Source organism: Homo sapiens, chromosome 14, assembly GCF_000001405.40.
Source record: "Homo sapiens chromosome 14, GRCh38.p14 Primary Assembly".
In the NCBI taxonomy this organism is placed as follows: Eukaryota; Metazoa; Chordata; class Mammalia; order Primates; family Hominidae; genus Homo; species Homo sapiens.
The window spans coordinates 32,426,880-32,443,193 of NC_000014.9; the positions used below are offsets into that span (position 1 = coordinate 32,426,880).

Consider the following 16,314-nt stretch of genomic DNA (forward strand, 5'->3'; position numbering starts at 1 on the left):
AAGATGATTGATTAAGTGTGTTATGGTTGACAGCAGACTGTGTTCTGGGCAAGGGAGTTAGCGGGTATTTGAGGAAAGACCCAGGAGATGGTGCGTGGTCTCTAAGTGATTAGCAGAATGTAATCACCCATCTGCCGAGGGGCACAGCTGTACAAAAGGAAATATTCAAGAGGGGAAAGGAGAGAGAGAAACACCAGTGATAACACCGAGATCTTTTAAATTATGGAAATCTGTTTGGGCTCCCCTATTGACGTGCTGTTTCCCCCCTGGGGCACTTGCAGTCCTTCTCCTCACTGACATCCACTTGTAGGCTGGCCTGTTATTGCAAGAGGATTAGAAAGTGAGATTAATCTGGGGCTACTGCAGTGATCTCACTAAACAGTGTTACTCTGCGTGAGTGCTGGAGGGCATTGGGGTGGGCAGGGAAAGAGAGCAAAGGAGGAGAAGGCATCAGGCAGCAATTATGGACATTTCCTTAGGAGCATCTTACAGAAGCCACTTTAACTTTTTCCCTAAGTACAGATTTAACTTAATACTTGGCAGCAACTCTTTGCCTCTTCTATTTAAGAGCTGAAAGCCATTTAAAGTTTCCCAGCTCTTGACCCAACAAAAGGCCTGGGAGGTAGGCAGGCAGCAAGATTTAAAACTAAGTGACGAACTAGATCCTCATTCATCTGGCTAGGCAGTGGCATTTAATTAACCAATTTATTAAATTTGTTTTTGTGTTTTCTTTGCAAAGCCCAATCTGGTATCCTGGAATCATATACAGGGTACACCTCTGGAGTTTCTTTCTCCTTAATGCAATCAAATCATGAGAGCTAACCTTAGACAAAAATTGAAACAGGCCAGAGGATTTTTTTATTTCTAAATTCAGTGTCCATATGAATAGGTTCTATGAAGAGTGGTTATAAAAATGTAAGAGAAGAAATGAAGTGGGAGAAAAAGGAAACTTATGTGATGCTTAATATAATTTTTTCTACCTCTGTTCTGTAATAAGTGCTATGTAGCAAGCACATCTGTTAATTTGACTAGAATTATGCTTTAATCACTTGCTTATATTTTCAGGATAAGCAGGGCACAGAAAGACTGAGAATAAGAATTTAGGCTTAGAGTTGATTTACATGATGAAAAGACTGCCTCTCAAACTGTACTCATGATAATGCTCTTACATGGAAAGAACAGTTTCTTGCTGAGACAGAGCAGGAATCTATTTGGCTGAAGTTGGCTTTGTCAGCTAGTCATGTTAACACAGTACTATTAATTTATCCTGCTTTAAGATTGCTGGGGTTTTTGAGAGTAAAGTCTTGATTCTTCTGAACCATGACTGGAAGCGCTCTGTCCACCCAAAGACTCTTTTCCATAGTGATCCTTGTTTTGGCAACTGTCTCCTTTTTCTCGGTCCACTCATCACTGCTTGTTTGCAAAAGGTCTGCCTATGACTGCACAATCCTGGAGCTTATACATTAGCTTCCAAATAGGGACTGCATAGCAGCCCTCTCTGCACAAGAGATTTAGGCCACCAAGAGAGTATGAAGCTGGTACTCTATACTGGCACCAGTGTCCTGCCAGCATGGTGCAGCCCCGACACTGGCCTTCATATTGTTTGGCCACAAGAAGAGAAACACCGGGGAGAGGAGGAGCCAAATGATTAATCCTGAAGGGCCGTTAGGGAAAAAACCATTTACAGTGAGTACAATAGGCAAGATACCCGGCTTTTCTGTTCTTTTATTTAAGAGAGAAAATTGTAAAAGAAAGGAGAGAGAGGTGGGAAGCTTTGATGGCGATGTAGCTGAACTTTTTTGTCTCCTGATTTGGTCGAATGAACTTTTCTGATTTAAATGTGTTTGTTTATTCAAGTTGAATGCATTCTGCTAGCGTCAAGCTCCAACCCAAAACTTGTGGACATGAGATCGCAGAAACAGTCCTTGTTAGTAAGCCATCCATGGCATGTTTCTATAGGATGATAAATAGAATAAGGTGGAAAAACCCTTTTATAATTTAAAAAAAAGCCTTAAAATCATTACTGCTTTCAGCTATTGCACTTTAATTATTGCCTCTTCTTTGGATTTGTGTAAAGGAAGGGATTTGATGGATGTTATTTTTAACAGCAGCTGGGATAAAGGTGGTATTATCGCTAATGCTGGAAAGGTGGCCGCAGACAAGCATTTGATTAGGGGGAGGGAGATGAGAGGTCACTGGGTTCCAAAAAGCTGTCTGATCACTCCTTTCACACCGTCTTGGAGCCAGAGTTGTAACTCGGTAGGCACCTGTGTGCACTTGATCAAATTTTTTTATTTTCACCATCAGAACTTGTAGTCTAAGCTTTTAAAAAAATGTCTCTGTGACTAGAAAGGAATCTTATCTCAAGATGACTTGTAAACAAGAATTCAAATCTTATATTATTTACAGATATAGACTCATGCTCAATTTCCTGCTTTCTGTTTGCATTCAAATGGAGTAATTAGTTTGATGGGAAAGAAACTTGAATAGTCCTGATAAGAACAAGAAAAATATTCACAAAGACTGTTACTATACGTTTCTACAATTTGAAGCATTTTTAAAAAATTATAATTTATCTTTAAAATCAGATGTGATTTTGTTAAAATCAGAAAAAGAGTATGACCATCCATATATGCTACATTTAAATGTGAACTACTAAAAATTGAAAAATGTTTGTAGTAATTGCTTTTCATGAAAATGGGCAATTAATCCATTTTATGCTACTACCCAGGCTTGCTGTGCTTAATGACACATATACCATTCTTTTCCTAGTGGCAAAGGTATATGTGAAGGAAAGTAAATAGAAGTTGAAATGAAACTTGAGTAAAGCACGCTTTGTTTTATCTCTATGGGTTATAGAAATTCTCTTGTGTGTAGTCTGATCAGTTGAATGTGGAAACATAGCATCTAGTTAGAAGTTTTATAGTTACAGGAAAATTTTGCTTTGGCAGCTTGAATGTAAGATTTCTTTGTACTTGACTCATATAGGATGCACATCTTCTCCTCTCCAGCTATGCTTTTGTTTCATATTTTTATTTTATTCTGGTTTGTCTTCTACATATATAACCACATCTGTTTTGTCAGTCTTAAGTGGCAAACTTCTAGAGGGGAGAATCTCCCATGTTTGTTCCTCTGGGAAGAATTAACAACACAAAACGTGTAAATAATGACTTACAAAACGCTGTTTTCATGATAGTAATTTATTCCTTTTCATTAAGTAGGACACATCTATCAATAATACTTGTAGGCTTTGACAAAATGGAGAACCATCATTTAGTAGCTACACAGCTCTCAAGATAGGCAGGAAACTTCCAACAGCTTTGAAATCTCTGGATAAATAACCCTAGGCAATCACAGATTCTTAGGGCAAATGGGATCCTATTGACTATCTAGTTCCGTTTTGTCATTTTACAGATGAAGAAACTGAGGCCAAGAAATGTATGGAGGATTTTGCCCCAAATCATATAAAACTGCAGTGTGCTTAGTGCGTGGACTGATGGTATATATGGAAATGTTGCAGGTTGGGACATAAGCTAATTCTTTAGTGTGTTTTTTAGTTTACGGTAGGATGTGTATTCCCAAGAAGGCCCTGCCTTGACTTAGGAGTTTCAGAGAAAACACGGTGACTAAGCACTGTTTTTTCAGTTGTGCAGGGCTTTGGGGCAGGGTTTTGCGGTGAGTGTGTATGTGTCAGTGTAGCTTAAACAGTTCATTGTATGCTGCCCTGGCTCAGCATTCAGTTTTCTAGTTTCAGTGACTCTGGCTTCTTAGAAGAGGGAACCACTGTGACACCAGTGTCTTCATTTATAACCAGTTCTAAGTTCTTGACCTAGAAACCTTATTAACCTTTATGTATCAGATTCCTTCTATAGCATTGTGATTCTAAACTTACCCCCAGAGGGCAGTGGGTCGATTAATAATTTTTTTTAAATATTAAAAATTTGGGGCTGGGTGCGGTGGCTCATGCCTGTAATCCCAGCACTTTGGGAGGCCGAGGTGGGCGGATCACGAGGTCAGGAGATGGAGACCATCCTGGATAACACAGTGAAACCCTGTCTCTACTAAAAAAAGTACAATTAGCCAGGCATAGTGGCAGGCACCTGTAGACCCAGCTACCTGGGGGGTTGAGGCAGGAGAATGGCGTGAACCCGGGAGGCAGAGCTTGCAGTGAGCTGAGATGGCACCACTGCACTCCAGCCTGGGCAACAGAGTGAGACTCCATCTCAAAAAAAAAAAAATTGGAGAAATTGGAATCAGCCTGAGGCTGGGGTATGGTTTATGAAGAAGTGGTATGGTAGCTCACTCTTCCTGGAGTTTTATCCCTCTCAGTGAAATTTTGTTATCTTCTGATTGTTTTTTGTTTTAATAGCTGGGTCTAGTATTATTATTACTTGTAAAACTGAATGCAAGCATGGTTAAAAATATGGGGTATCTGCCTTATATTCATGGGAAAGAAAAAAAGTGTGGGGTATGGATTTCTGCCTTTTGCATTCAGGTGGCGAAGGCTGTTGAATTGAAGCCTGAAGCCATTCTCTAAGGCAGGTATCAAAGTGATAAACCTACTTTATAACATATATTTTGCTTTTTGCAAATAACTTTGTTTTAAAAATTTATCTGTAATTCTCTTTTTTATTTTTTATTTTTTGAGACGTAGTTTCACTCTTGTTGCCCAGGCTAGAGTGCAATGGTGCAATCTCGGCTCAGCTCACTGCAACCTCCCCCTCCCGGGTTCAAGCCATTCTTCTGTCTCAGCCTCCTGAGTAGCTGGGATTACAGGTGCCTGCCACTACACCCGGCTAATTTTTGGTATTTTTAGTAGAGACAGGGTTTCACCATGTTGGCTAGGCAGGCCTCGAACTCCTGACCTCAGGTGATCTGCCTGCCTCGGCCTCCCAAAGTGTTGGGATTACAGGCGTGAGCCACCACGTCTGGCCTTCTCCTCACCATTGAATTCAAAAGTTAGATGCCTGAGAAATTAGGGAAAAGGATTACACTGCAGTATTGGAAAGATTCTGAAAAAATATGTCATAGGAGTAACTTAGTCTTAAGGCTTTTGTCAACTCAACAAGTCTTTTTTATTTCCACTCCTCATTCCTGTATGGAAAGATACATGTTTCTAGTCAAATTGGAAGCATTTTAAAAAGTTTCCCCTCTATTTTGGTATGTAAAAATAATTTTGCTTTTCTTTTTTTTTGCTGAATATTTGTTACTGTACAAATATGAACCACTTTTTGACAATCACATTTAATTTCTGATCTTTAGGTCAGTCACCTTTCATCTTTGGGGAAATAACAATATAAACTAACTTGAATTTGTAGAACCCGAAAAAAAAGTATAAAAGAAAAATAAATTCATTGCCTTGAGTAGAAGAAGCTGCTCTTGAGACTAAAAATAGTGCTTATTTATTTTAAAGTATAAGAGCCTAAAAGTTGATATTTTATACTAGACTCGTTCCAGAAGAAAGATAAATTTAATAGCTGGATAATTAAACTAATTAAATTCATCTTAAAATGCCACCTTACTTTTTGATGAATTACACTTATGTTATTTTAACTTATTTGGTTAATATTTTACTGTTTATGTATTTCAGACCAATTTATTACCCCTAAAATTCCAGAAGCCTCTAAAAATTCCATATAACCAAATATTAATGTAATTTAGATTGAGAGTTAATTAGATCTATTCAGTACAATCCATGATTTATACTTTCTAGGAAAGTAAAGATTTGGGATTGTCACAGGTTATTATTTAACTAACAAATCATAGAAAGGAGCAACATCTCCTGAATTCAGCTCAGTGTTTTTTGTGATTAGAACATCTTCCCACGTAGCTGTCCCACGTATTGAATATGTTGATTTTATAGTCAAAATGATGTTTGAATATTTCTAGTAGAAAAGCCCAAAATAATCCTGGCTTGAACAAGATAGAAGTTTGGTTTTTTCTCACATAAAAGAAGTACAGAGCAGCAATCAGACCTGGTACGGTAGCTCCTCCGGTATCAAGTGGAACCCGTGTTTCTACCCTCATGCTCCACCGTCCTCTACCCGTCATACGCAAAGGCCTCTCTGGGTCTGAGTTGCCAGCTGCTCTAGCCATCAAGTCCACATTACAGCCTGGAAGAAGGGGAGGAAAGTAGAAGGGCATAAAGGGAGCCCCTCCTAATTGAGTCAGCTCCCTGTAAGCAGCTCTCCCAGAATTTCAACACAACAATTCCACTCATTGGCCAGAACATGGCCACACCTAGCTGCAAGGGAGATAGGGAATGTAGTTTTAAATTCTGTGCAGGAATATGAACAGCTAAAAACCAGGATTTTGTTACTAAGAAATAAGGGAAGAATAGATGGGGGCGGTGGGGGGAGAGTAGTCAATATCACAGTGGTTTTATGTTCATATTATTTCCTGGCTCTTGGGGCTACCATGTAGAAAATCAAAACACCTCTTTCTGTTTTTGTTATGAGCTATGGTTTCTTAATTTAGAAATCTGGCTTAATTTAGAAATCCTGTTTCTTCTGTGAAGTATCATTTCTTTATTTGGCAATCTTGACTGACTCTTGCTTTCTTCTTTCCTCTTGCCTTTCAGCTGTTTTGGAAAGAAGTGAGGTTTAGACTTCTCCATGTTAACCATGAGCGTGACACTTTCCCCCCTGAGGTCACAGGACCTGGATCCCATGGCTACTGATGCTTCACCCATGGCCATCAACATGACACCCACTGTGGAGCAGGGTGAGGGAGAAGAGGCAATGAAGGACATGGACTCTGACCAGCAGTATGAAAAGCCACCCCCACTACACACAGGGGCTGACTGGAAGATTGTCCTCCACTTACCTGAAATTGAGACCTGGCTCCGGATGACCTCAGAGAGGGTCCGAGACCTAACCTATTCAGTCCAGCAGGATTCGGACAGCAAGCATGTGGATGTACATCTAGTTCAACTAAAGGTAAGGCAAGGTCTGTGATCCTCTCAGGATAGAAGTTTTCAAAAGGCTGTGGCACCTAGAGACTGTGTTCTGTAATTTCCAGTGAGGAATTGTCCAGGAAGAAAAGCACAGTACCAGGTTTCAAACCATTATCTTTAGAGATAAACATGGAAATAATTAATTCTTCTCTGATTTTACTACATGTGCTGATTATCTAGAATACAACTGGCCTTTGGTGATAGTGCAGAGAAATGGGGAAAGGGAGGGGTATTTTTGTGCAGTGTTATCAAAATAAGTTACACAGAATAAAAGTATTTAAAAACTCTTACAAAGGGTTTAATAAAAGACTCTTATAGGTAAAATATCAAATGCAGCTGTGATTGTGAGTATTTGTATGTGACTGTTATCTTCAGTTGAAGCTGATGCTGCCTTTGTGGCAAACAATGAATTCTGACATAGTAGGGAAGGGCAATGTTCTTTTACAATGAGTTGTTTCATCCAGGCACAATGCTTCATGTAGAACAAAGGTGATTTTATGACAACTCATCTAAAGTTCAGACATTTAAAAAAAAAGTCTGTGGACTCAGAAGCCCTTTAAAAGCCTGACTGTTGGTGATAATGAAATGGAGTTGCTAGTAAAGAGTACTACTAATAGCGTTTTTGGCCTAGGGACTTCAAGATAAGGTGAACCTCGCCCTGCCATAGTCACTCCTCTCTCCCAGGTCCTTGAGGGAAATACACACTCAGGTCAGTGACCTGCAGAGCAAGACAGGTTTATAACCAATCAGGGCACTGGCCACAAACCCCATGGTAAATTTCTAGTCAATTAGAAGTAACACTAAGGAAACTTCCTTTACCTAAACTGGTTCATCCTAAATAATCTGAAATGAAAGGTCAAACATTCTTGGATCTTAACACTTAAATGGTTTACAGGATGCAGCCATCAGCCTGAGTGGGAAAGATGAGCACTTAAAATGAAGCATAGAGCCTAGAGCAGAGCAGGCTCAGCCTTCTCAGGCTGGTTCAGCAGATCCAGAGCCCAGCTGCCCCATTACAGAAAGTGTTCAAATGAGTGTGGTCGGGGGAGAGAACAAAAGAGCCAGAATCTTAAAGGTGACTGGGCTTCTCCCAGGTTGAGCAGGTCTAGTGTCTGATTTCTACAGGTTATTAGGGAAAAAAGTACAAAAAGGCAACAGAGAGATGGCTAGGAATTAGCTTCAACAGAATGCAAACCCCAGCCATCTTTCTGCTGTTGCAGCAGGGAGTGATTTGACTCAGTCTGTGAAACATGGTTTGTATAATCAGAATAGCAGGTCTCCAACTCCTTGAGGTTAAAGTGAAATAGAAATTTGGAGGCTCTGCTTTGCCCCCTTCCCTTCTCTGTCCCCTCCAAGGCTACCCTTACATGTAGCTCCCATAAGTAGATAGGGGGTTAGGTTTATAAGGAAAGTCAACTACTGCTTTCTGGAATCTTTCAGACTTACATAGAAAAGGTGGGGACAATAAAGGGAAATATCTTTAGAAGTCTCAGTAAAAAAAATGTGTTGTTAAGGGCTATTAAAAACATTAATGAGTCAATTAACTTTATTGAATTACATTAACAACTTGGAAGTGAAAATTTAAATTTTAGTTCCAAATAAGAATGTAAAGTTTTTGTACAATTAACATAGGGTTATATTTAGTGTTTGAGAAACCAACTCTAGGGTTGTATGTATTTTTCTCATTGGAACTGCCTATCACGTTCTTACCTTGGTCAAAAGGTATTTCACACCCACCTCCATCAGCTCCATCCCTTAGTGTGGTCTGTCTCCCCTGCTGAGAAAGGAGCCCCAGGAGGGCATGAAGTCAACACAGTAATTACATAGTAGTTACTCAGTCAATAACTATTAAGGGGATAAATATAAATTGTCCTATGTTCATTTTATCCTAGGATGTCTATCATGACTTTTCGGGGTACTAGTTTCATTAGGTTACTTAACCAATAGAGCCTTTCCACATTGAGTTCAAAGTCAAGGAGCTCTGGTTACTGCATGTGGCCTCAAAAAAGGTCTACACAAGTGTTTGGTTATATCGCTTAATCTACTTAGTTAAGTTTCTCTTTTATTCGTATAATATTTCTTTATTCCACCAAATAAGCACTGTCATGCATTTTTTCAAAAATATTTTAAATAAATATCACTTTTTCTGATTTCCACGTTGATCATAAGAATAAACGGGAACTTGGGCACAGAGTTTTATATGTGGAAACACAACAAAACAACCTTGTAGAAGCAGCTCTCAACTGAGGCCTTTGGCAAAGCAGATGGGCAGGCCCAGACTGGGGATGGCCAGCTGTGATGGGGCATCTTAACTTGGCTCCTACTACCTTGATAAGTTACCCAATTTATTAATTTACAGTGAAAAATAACCATCTCAAGGCTGGGAATGCCCATGGCTTTGAAGATCATCTAGGCACAGATAATTGCCTAATTTATATGTTCATCTCAGTGTTTTCCCAGGAGCCCCAGCTGCCTAACTTAATCTCCACTTGTGTCTCTAGTGGGCATCTCAAGCCCATCAAAGAGCTGTTAATCCTCTCCCAATCTTACCAGTTTCAGTAAACGTCACTACTCTGTTAAGCCAAAGCATGACTCTCCACTCCACATACATGTCTATCAACAAGTCCTGGGAATCCATCTCCAAAATATGCCCTAAAGTTACTCTCTTCTCTCCAACACTACTGCTGCCATCCTAGTCAAGCCACATCACTGCTTGCCTAGGCTACTTTTAGAACTTTCTAACTAATCTTGCTGCTTCTTTTACCTTTAGCCTTGCAGTTTATTCTCCACCCAGTAGCCAATGGGATCTTTTAAATACGTAAACAAGCATGGTGACTCAAGACTATGATCCTAGCACTTTGGGAGGCAGAGATGGGCAGATTGCTTGAGCCCAGGAGTTTGAGACCAGACTGGGCAGCATGGTGAAACCCTGTCTCTACTAAAAATACAAAAATTAGTAGGCATGGTGGTGTGCACCTGTAATCCCAGCTTCTCTGGAGGCTGAGATGAGAGAATCACCTGAGCCTGGGAAATTGAGGCTGCTGATGCTCCACTGCACTACATCCTGGGTGACAAAGTGAGACTCTGTCTCAAAAAACTAAAGTAATAAATATGTAAATGAGGTCATGTCACTTCCTTGCTTCCTATTGGACTTACAATAAAACTAAAGCTTTTTCCTGTGACTCTGCTCTTGGCTGTTCCTCTGATCCTGGCTCCTGTACTTTTCTCCTTGTTCATAAAGCTCCAGATTCACTGTAAGTTCCAAAGAAGCATTGGGTTTGTTCTTGTCTGACAGCTTTTCCTGTTCCTTCTGCGGAGAAGCTCTCTTTCCCCATTGTTACATGGCAGATTCTGGATCCTCACCAAGCTATCAGCCAGAGGGACAGTCATGTTTAATATCTGGAGATGCAAGCCTGGGAGAGGGTTGGGCAGGGATTGGCAGTGAGGAAGTAGGGTCTGTGCTGTGTTTGATGAGGGGCAAGCACAAAAAAAGAAGCTACTCATTACCTAACTTGTCTACACACTTCATACTCCCTTTCACACTGCTGGTTCTAAGTCTTTTCATCATGCTCTTCTCTACCATCATGTCAATACATAACTTTTTAAAAAACGTAGTTGGAAAATGCTTTTGAAAAATGCTTAGGGTAGGCTCTGTCTCAGCTCTTTAATTAAATGTCCTTTTTTCAAATAAGCCATTCCTGATCCCTCTTCTTAAAACCCCTGCCACCCAGCCATTATCTAGTCCATCACCTAGCTTTATTATTATTATTATCATTATTTGAGACAGGGTCTCACTCCGTCACCCAGACTGGAGTGCAGTGGCGCAATCTGGGCTCACTGCAACCTTTGACCCTCAGGCTCAAGAGATGCTCCTGCCTCAGCCTCCCAAGTAGCTGAGACTACAAGTGCATGCCACTATGCCCAGCTAATGTTTGTATTTTGTGTAGTAGAGATGGGATTTCACCATGTTGCCCAGGCTGGTCTTGAACTCTTGGGCTCAAGCGATCTTCTAGCCTCTGCCTTCCAAAGTGCTGGCATTACAGGCGTGGCCTTTATTATTTTTTTAATGGTTCTTATCACTAGCTGCAGTTATTTATTTATTTGCTTGTTTGTGTTTTCCCTAAGGACCTGAGCTGTCAAGTTTTCTATTGTATGTCTGTTGTCTAGGACAGGGCCAGGCACTTAGGACTCAATTCACACCTGTTGTTGTATAGGTGAGTCCAAGCCTATGTGGTCAGTGCCTTCTTTCCCCATAGACAGGCTTGCACAGCAAGTCACATAAGGAAGGCTGCTCAATGAGGATTGAATTAGGACAAAGGCATTGGATGAATCAAGGCCCAATATGTTTGGGGCATTGCTCTCCCACTAGGAAGGGTCTGTGAGTGGTTCAGAAATCTGGGGGATCTTGTCTGGGGAGTCTGCCCAGGAAAGTCTGTTCTTCTTCTGTAAATGGTTGTGCCTGGCCCCTCTCACATCCCCCTTTTTGTTGTACTCCTTCTTTGGTAATGATTTCGGTTAATAAGCATACTCTCAGGTCTTCTAAACCCAGAGACACTCTTTTTCTTTAAAAGTGATTTTATCTTCTGGTCATTGTGTTGATCCTAAAGTCTGTTTCCCAGAGACCACTCTTATCTCCCTTATTTCCAAGTTCTTAGGGGAAATTTTACCTCCAGAATGAACTACAGACAACTGTTATAAAGTTCCCATGGGGGAGTGATTATTCTTGAGAGTGAATAAAAGCAGAGATTGAAAATTGGAAACAATGAAATATATTATACTGAGTACTTTTTTGCATCATTTTTAAAACTGAAAATGAAACCTACATATTTTGCTTCTTAGCTTCCAGATATTCTTCAGTAAGAAGTATGAGAAACCAGCTGAACCAAATTTAGAATCTCTCCGCCTTCTTTGGATTCAGAAGCTGTGCTGTACAGGAAAACCAGATCAAGAACCTTTAAAGGTTTTGATTTTAACTGAGACCTCTGGTTTGGGTGAATGTATTTGGTTGCTAAAAAGGCAAAGTAGGTATCTCTGCTTCCTGATTAACAGTCTTCTCAGGGAGAATATTATTTGTTTTCCTGGAAACGTGATAGCAGGAAAGAGGCAAGGTGTAGGCTAGCTAGCATAGGCTAAATGATATGGCTGGATAACAGACAGAAGCCTTGAAGTGGCTTTCTGGAATCAGCTCCCCCAAAACCCACATTAGGTAGATTCTGTCCTAAGCCACCTCCACATGAGATTTGGGTCTGTATCTTTGATTGATTGTGACATGACTCTCAAAGTTAGAGTAGTCAACAGAGACTCTGTTTACAAGATGTTCTGACTGGGCTGTACCCAGACTGAGATGTCTGGGACATCTGAAGTTAATGCACATACCCAGTGATCACATGGGGTCTGGAGGGCCTACTGGGAAAAAGGATTGAATCCTCTCCACAGCTGGGATTTGGCACCATCAGATGGACCTTATGGACAGAAGATGTTGGAAGTCCAAGGATAATGGGGCTCCTAGGAGAGGATTCTCTGTCACCATGGGACAAGGAGTCTGCCCCAGTGTGGGGAGGAAAGGGGATGGTGAGTTGTGGTACAGTATGTTCCCAGGCCTGGAACCTGGGCTGGCACCAGGGCAGTGTGGATAACTAATGAGGGGAAAGGGCTATGGTTGTGACTTGGAGGACCTCCCCAGTGGCTGAAGCCAACTTTCCCCTTGTTCAGCAGGTGCAAAAGGGAAGGATTATTCTCTTTCTCCCACTACTGGAGCATAACTAGTAAGGCTACCTCAGATGGCAGTGGTGCCACCAAGGTGACAACTGTGGTGTCTAGGGTCCATAGTCGTGACAGTGAGCAACAGCCAGGGTTGATTCATGGGCATATCTAAAACATGCCCTTGGATTCTCATAAATTCTTGATAAGGGGAAGGAACTCTGAGTGGAACTAAACTTCTGACATTAAAAGTTACTGGCTCGGTGGATTCTGATCTTAATGTTAACTTGACTGTGTGTTAAAGCCCGAAGCATTCAATTTATACCATCTTTGAGTGGTTTCCAGCACATCTTAAATATAATAAGCCCTGGTTTAAGATTGAAGACAAAATATCTTTCTTTTCTGCGAAGAGTAGTTATTTTCATTTTTGCCCTTTAGATCACTATTTTTCAACAAATAGATCTTAACCCATTTAGCAGGTTGTGAAATCAGTTTAGTGAAATAAAGAGCTAAACAATGAATTAGAAAAGGATTTCATGAATAATGATAAGTGCTATGTTGTAAAATTTGGTTTTCTGTCCTTGCGATAGTTTGCTCAGAATGACGGTTTCCAGCTTCATCCATGTCCCTACAAAGGACATGAATTCATCCTTTTTTATGGCTGCATAGTATTCCATGGTGTATATGTGCCACATTTTCTTAATCCAGTCTATTATTGATGGACTCATAGGTGGGAACTGAACAATGAGAACACTTGGACACAGGGTGGGGAACATCACACACTGGGGCCTGTCATGGGGTGGGGGGAGTGGGGAGGGATAGCATTAGGAGATATACCTAGTGTAAATGACCAGTTAACGGGTGCAGCACACCAACATGGCGAACATATACATATGTAACAAACCTGCACATTGTGCACATGTACCCTAGAACTTAAAGTATTAAAAAAAAAAACTTGATTTAATTAAAACCAAGTTCTTGGTCATGGTGTAAAAATGTATTTTTTTGAATCAACGCCATAACAGTTTGATAGTGACTGCTTTAGGCCATTCCCAACTTTCTTCAAGATCTTTGATATATACTTTAATTTTGGAACATATTATGCAAGGAAATGTAATCTGGTGCTGTTTGTGTAACATTATTGTTTTAATTCTTATATGGGATTAAAATTTACACGAAATACCCATCAAATCAGCAACCCCAAAAGCATATCCCAAATCTCTGAAAATTGGAAGATGAGGTTGATGTATTTGTTGATGGGTATGAGGATGGTAACATTTATTATTTTCCCAAAGCCCAGATTTATGGCTGTAATCCTTTTTTTGGTGGATGGGTGCTATGATCTCAAAATTCGTATGTTGAAACTTAATTGCCAATGTGATAGTATTAAGAGGTGGGGTCTTTAGGATCTGATTAAATAATAAGGGCTCTACCCTCATGAATGAAATTAGTGACCTCATAAAGAAAGGTTACAGGGAGCTACGGCAGCAACAAGGTGCCATATTGGAAGCAGAGAGTAAGCTCTCACCAGACACAGAATCTGCTGGTGCTTTGATCCTAGACTTTCCAGCCTCCAAACCATGAGAAATAAATTTCTAGTGTTTATAAATTACCCAGTCTAAGGTGTTTTGTTATAGTAGTCTGAATGACTGACTGTACATTTTCCTTAGGGTGTCTTCTTAGGGAAGTTGGATACTAGTGGTCAAGTGTATAGAGAGTGTGGTTTCATTATGGTGGTTATTAGTGGAAATGCTTTTTCTACAATTAGTGCTAAGATTGTGTAAGACTATTTGGTATCATCAACTAATAAAAATGGTTGAAATAAGAAGGATGTCTGATGTTTGAATGGCTAATTTTAGATATTTAGAAGACCCAATTATGTGGGAAAAAGTCTATCTCAATTAATTGTTGAATAATTATCTCTCTCTCTCTTCCCCATCCAATGCTGGAAAACAGGCTAAGTGCTAAATAAATCCTTTTTTGATTGTTGAATGATTGATGTATTTTCATCATGATTTGGGGAGATGATATAAGCCTCAGACCTAGCACCTGTTTTGGACTACTTATGAACACTCTTGATTAAGATATAGAAAAATTAATGTTGGTGGTTCCTGGCACATTATCGCAGAAGATCTTTGGCTATACATGAACCTTAGCCACATGCACTAATGTATTTAGAGCTCAGAATGAGAGCATTATTTGTCAAGGTGGCTCAGTCTAACAGATTGTATAGCTGTGTAATTTTTCATTAGCAAAAGTAGCATGGAAACTGAAGATTAATACAGGTTTTACAATTTGAAAGAAATAATGAAAACAGTTTAGAGAAAGTAATACATTTCATAAAAGGATTTTGAGAAAAATCTAAAGAAACTGGCATTACTTTGATTAGAGAAGTGTTATTGGGGTTTTTTAAAGATGTTTGTTTAATAATGTCACCATGAGCTCTCACTGAACAACAATAGCTATCTGTTTTTGTGGTCTCACAGGATTAGATATTTTTAGGGGCATCCACCAGAGGTAGGATATGAGTTAACTCTTTCCTTGCCTTGAGAGTTTTCATTTCAATTGCATTCATAGAGTATCTAATATATACTAGGAGTCTTACTTATAGTATCTTATTTAATCCTCACAATCACCCTCTGTTAGAAATGAGGAGACTGAGTCTCAAAAGGTTAAGTGATCAACTTGGGAGTCAAACCATGTATTTTGAGCCTCAAGTCTAATATTCTTTCTATTTTGGTGCACTGGCTTCATACCCTTGTACAGATGTGAGAAATTTGAGTGGCTATAAAGCATAATAGTTCCGGCTAGGTACAGAGGCATGTGCCTGTAGTACCAGCTACTGGGGAGGCTGAGGCAGGAGGATTGCTTGAGTCCAGGAGTCCTGGGCAGTAGTGCTCTCTGCCAATCTGATGTCCACACCAAGTTTGGCATCAATATGGTGACCTCCTGGAAGCAGAAGACCATCTGGTTGCCTAAGAAGGGGTGAACTGAACCAGGCTGGAAATGGAGCAGGTCAAAACTCCCATGCTGATCAGTAGTGGGATCACGCCTGTGAATAGCCCCTGCACTCCAGCCTGAGCAACATAGCAAGATCCCGTCTCTTAAAAAAAAAAAAAAATTCTGGTTTTCTTACATTAGACAGTTAAGAGGAACGGATATGAGGGTGGGGGGCTTATTTTATTAAGAAGATCCAACCTGTGTGTATTTTAATTCATCATAAGTAGGAATGTGAGTGATTTGAAATGGGGACATAGATGAAGTCCTGGGGTCCCTTTGAGTAGGGTTGTCATAGCTACCTTGAATAAGGTACCTATGCTGCTACCTTGCCCACTCTGCTGTCTTCAAAATTTTACATCTCAAAAGAGGGGAAACGTAATAGAATTAAAGTGAAAAGGAAGTAAGATGTGAATGACTAGTATCCTAACATGGAGGTGAGTGGAACAAGAAATGAACATCTTTAATGATAAATGTTAACAAATCAATTGATTTCAAGCTATGGCATGTGTTAGAGACCATGGTTCTCACCCTTGGCTGCACAGTAGAATCTCCTGGGAAGCTTTAAAAAACCCATTGTCCGGCCAGGCGTGGTGTCTCACGCCTGTAATCCCAGTACTTTGGGCGGCCGAGGCAGGTGGATCACAAAGTCAGGAGTTCAA

At 40.2% G+C, this 16,314-nt stretch overlaps 1 protein-coding gene and 1 pseudogene across 11 annotated transcripts in view; both read left to right on the plus strand.

The window, feature by feature from the left end:
- The window catches only part of AKAP6 (A-kinase anchoring protein 6), a 508,387-nt gene that overhangs the window by 97,582 nt on the left and 394,491 nt on the right, over nt 1–16,314 (plus strand). For 10 of the 11 annotated variants that reach the window (XM_047431969.1, XM_047431966.1, XM_024449755.2 and 7 more), the window contains one exon: nt 6,581–6,938. In XM_047431969.1, the coding sequence (XP_047287925.1) occupies nt 6,615–6,938 (324 nt within the window). In that variant the 5' untranslated portion in view covers nt 6,581–6,614. Of the gene's footprint in view, nt 1–1,500; nt 1,687–6,580; nt 6,939–16,314 lie in introns of those variants that run through there. The other variant, XM_024449756.2, reaches the window with a different exon arrangement.
- On the plus strand, nt 15,462–15,760 carry RN7SL660P (RNA, 7SL, cytoplasmic 660, pseudogene; annotated as a pseudogene).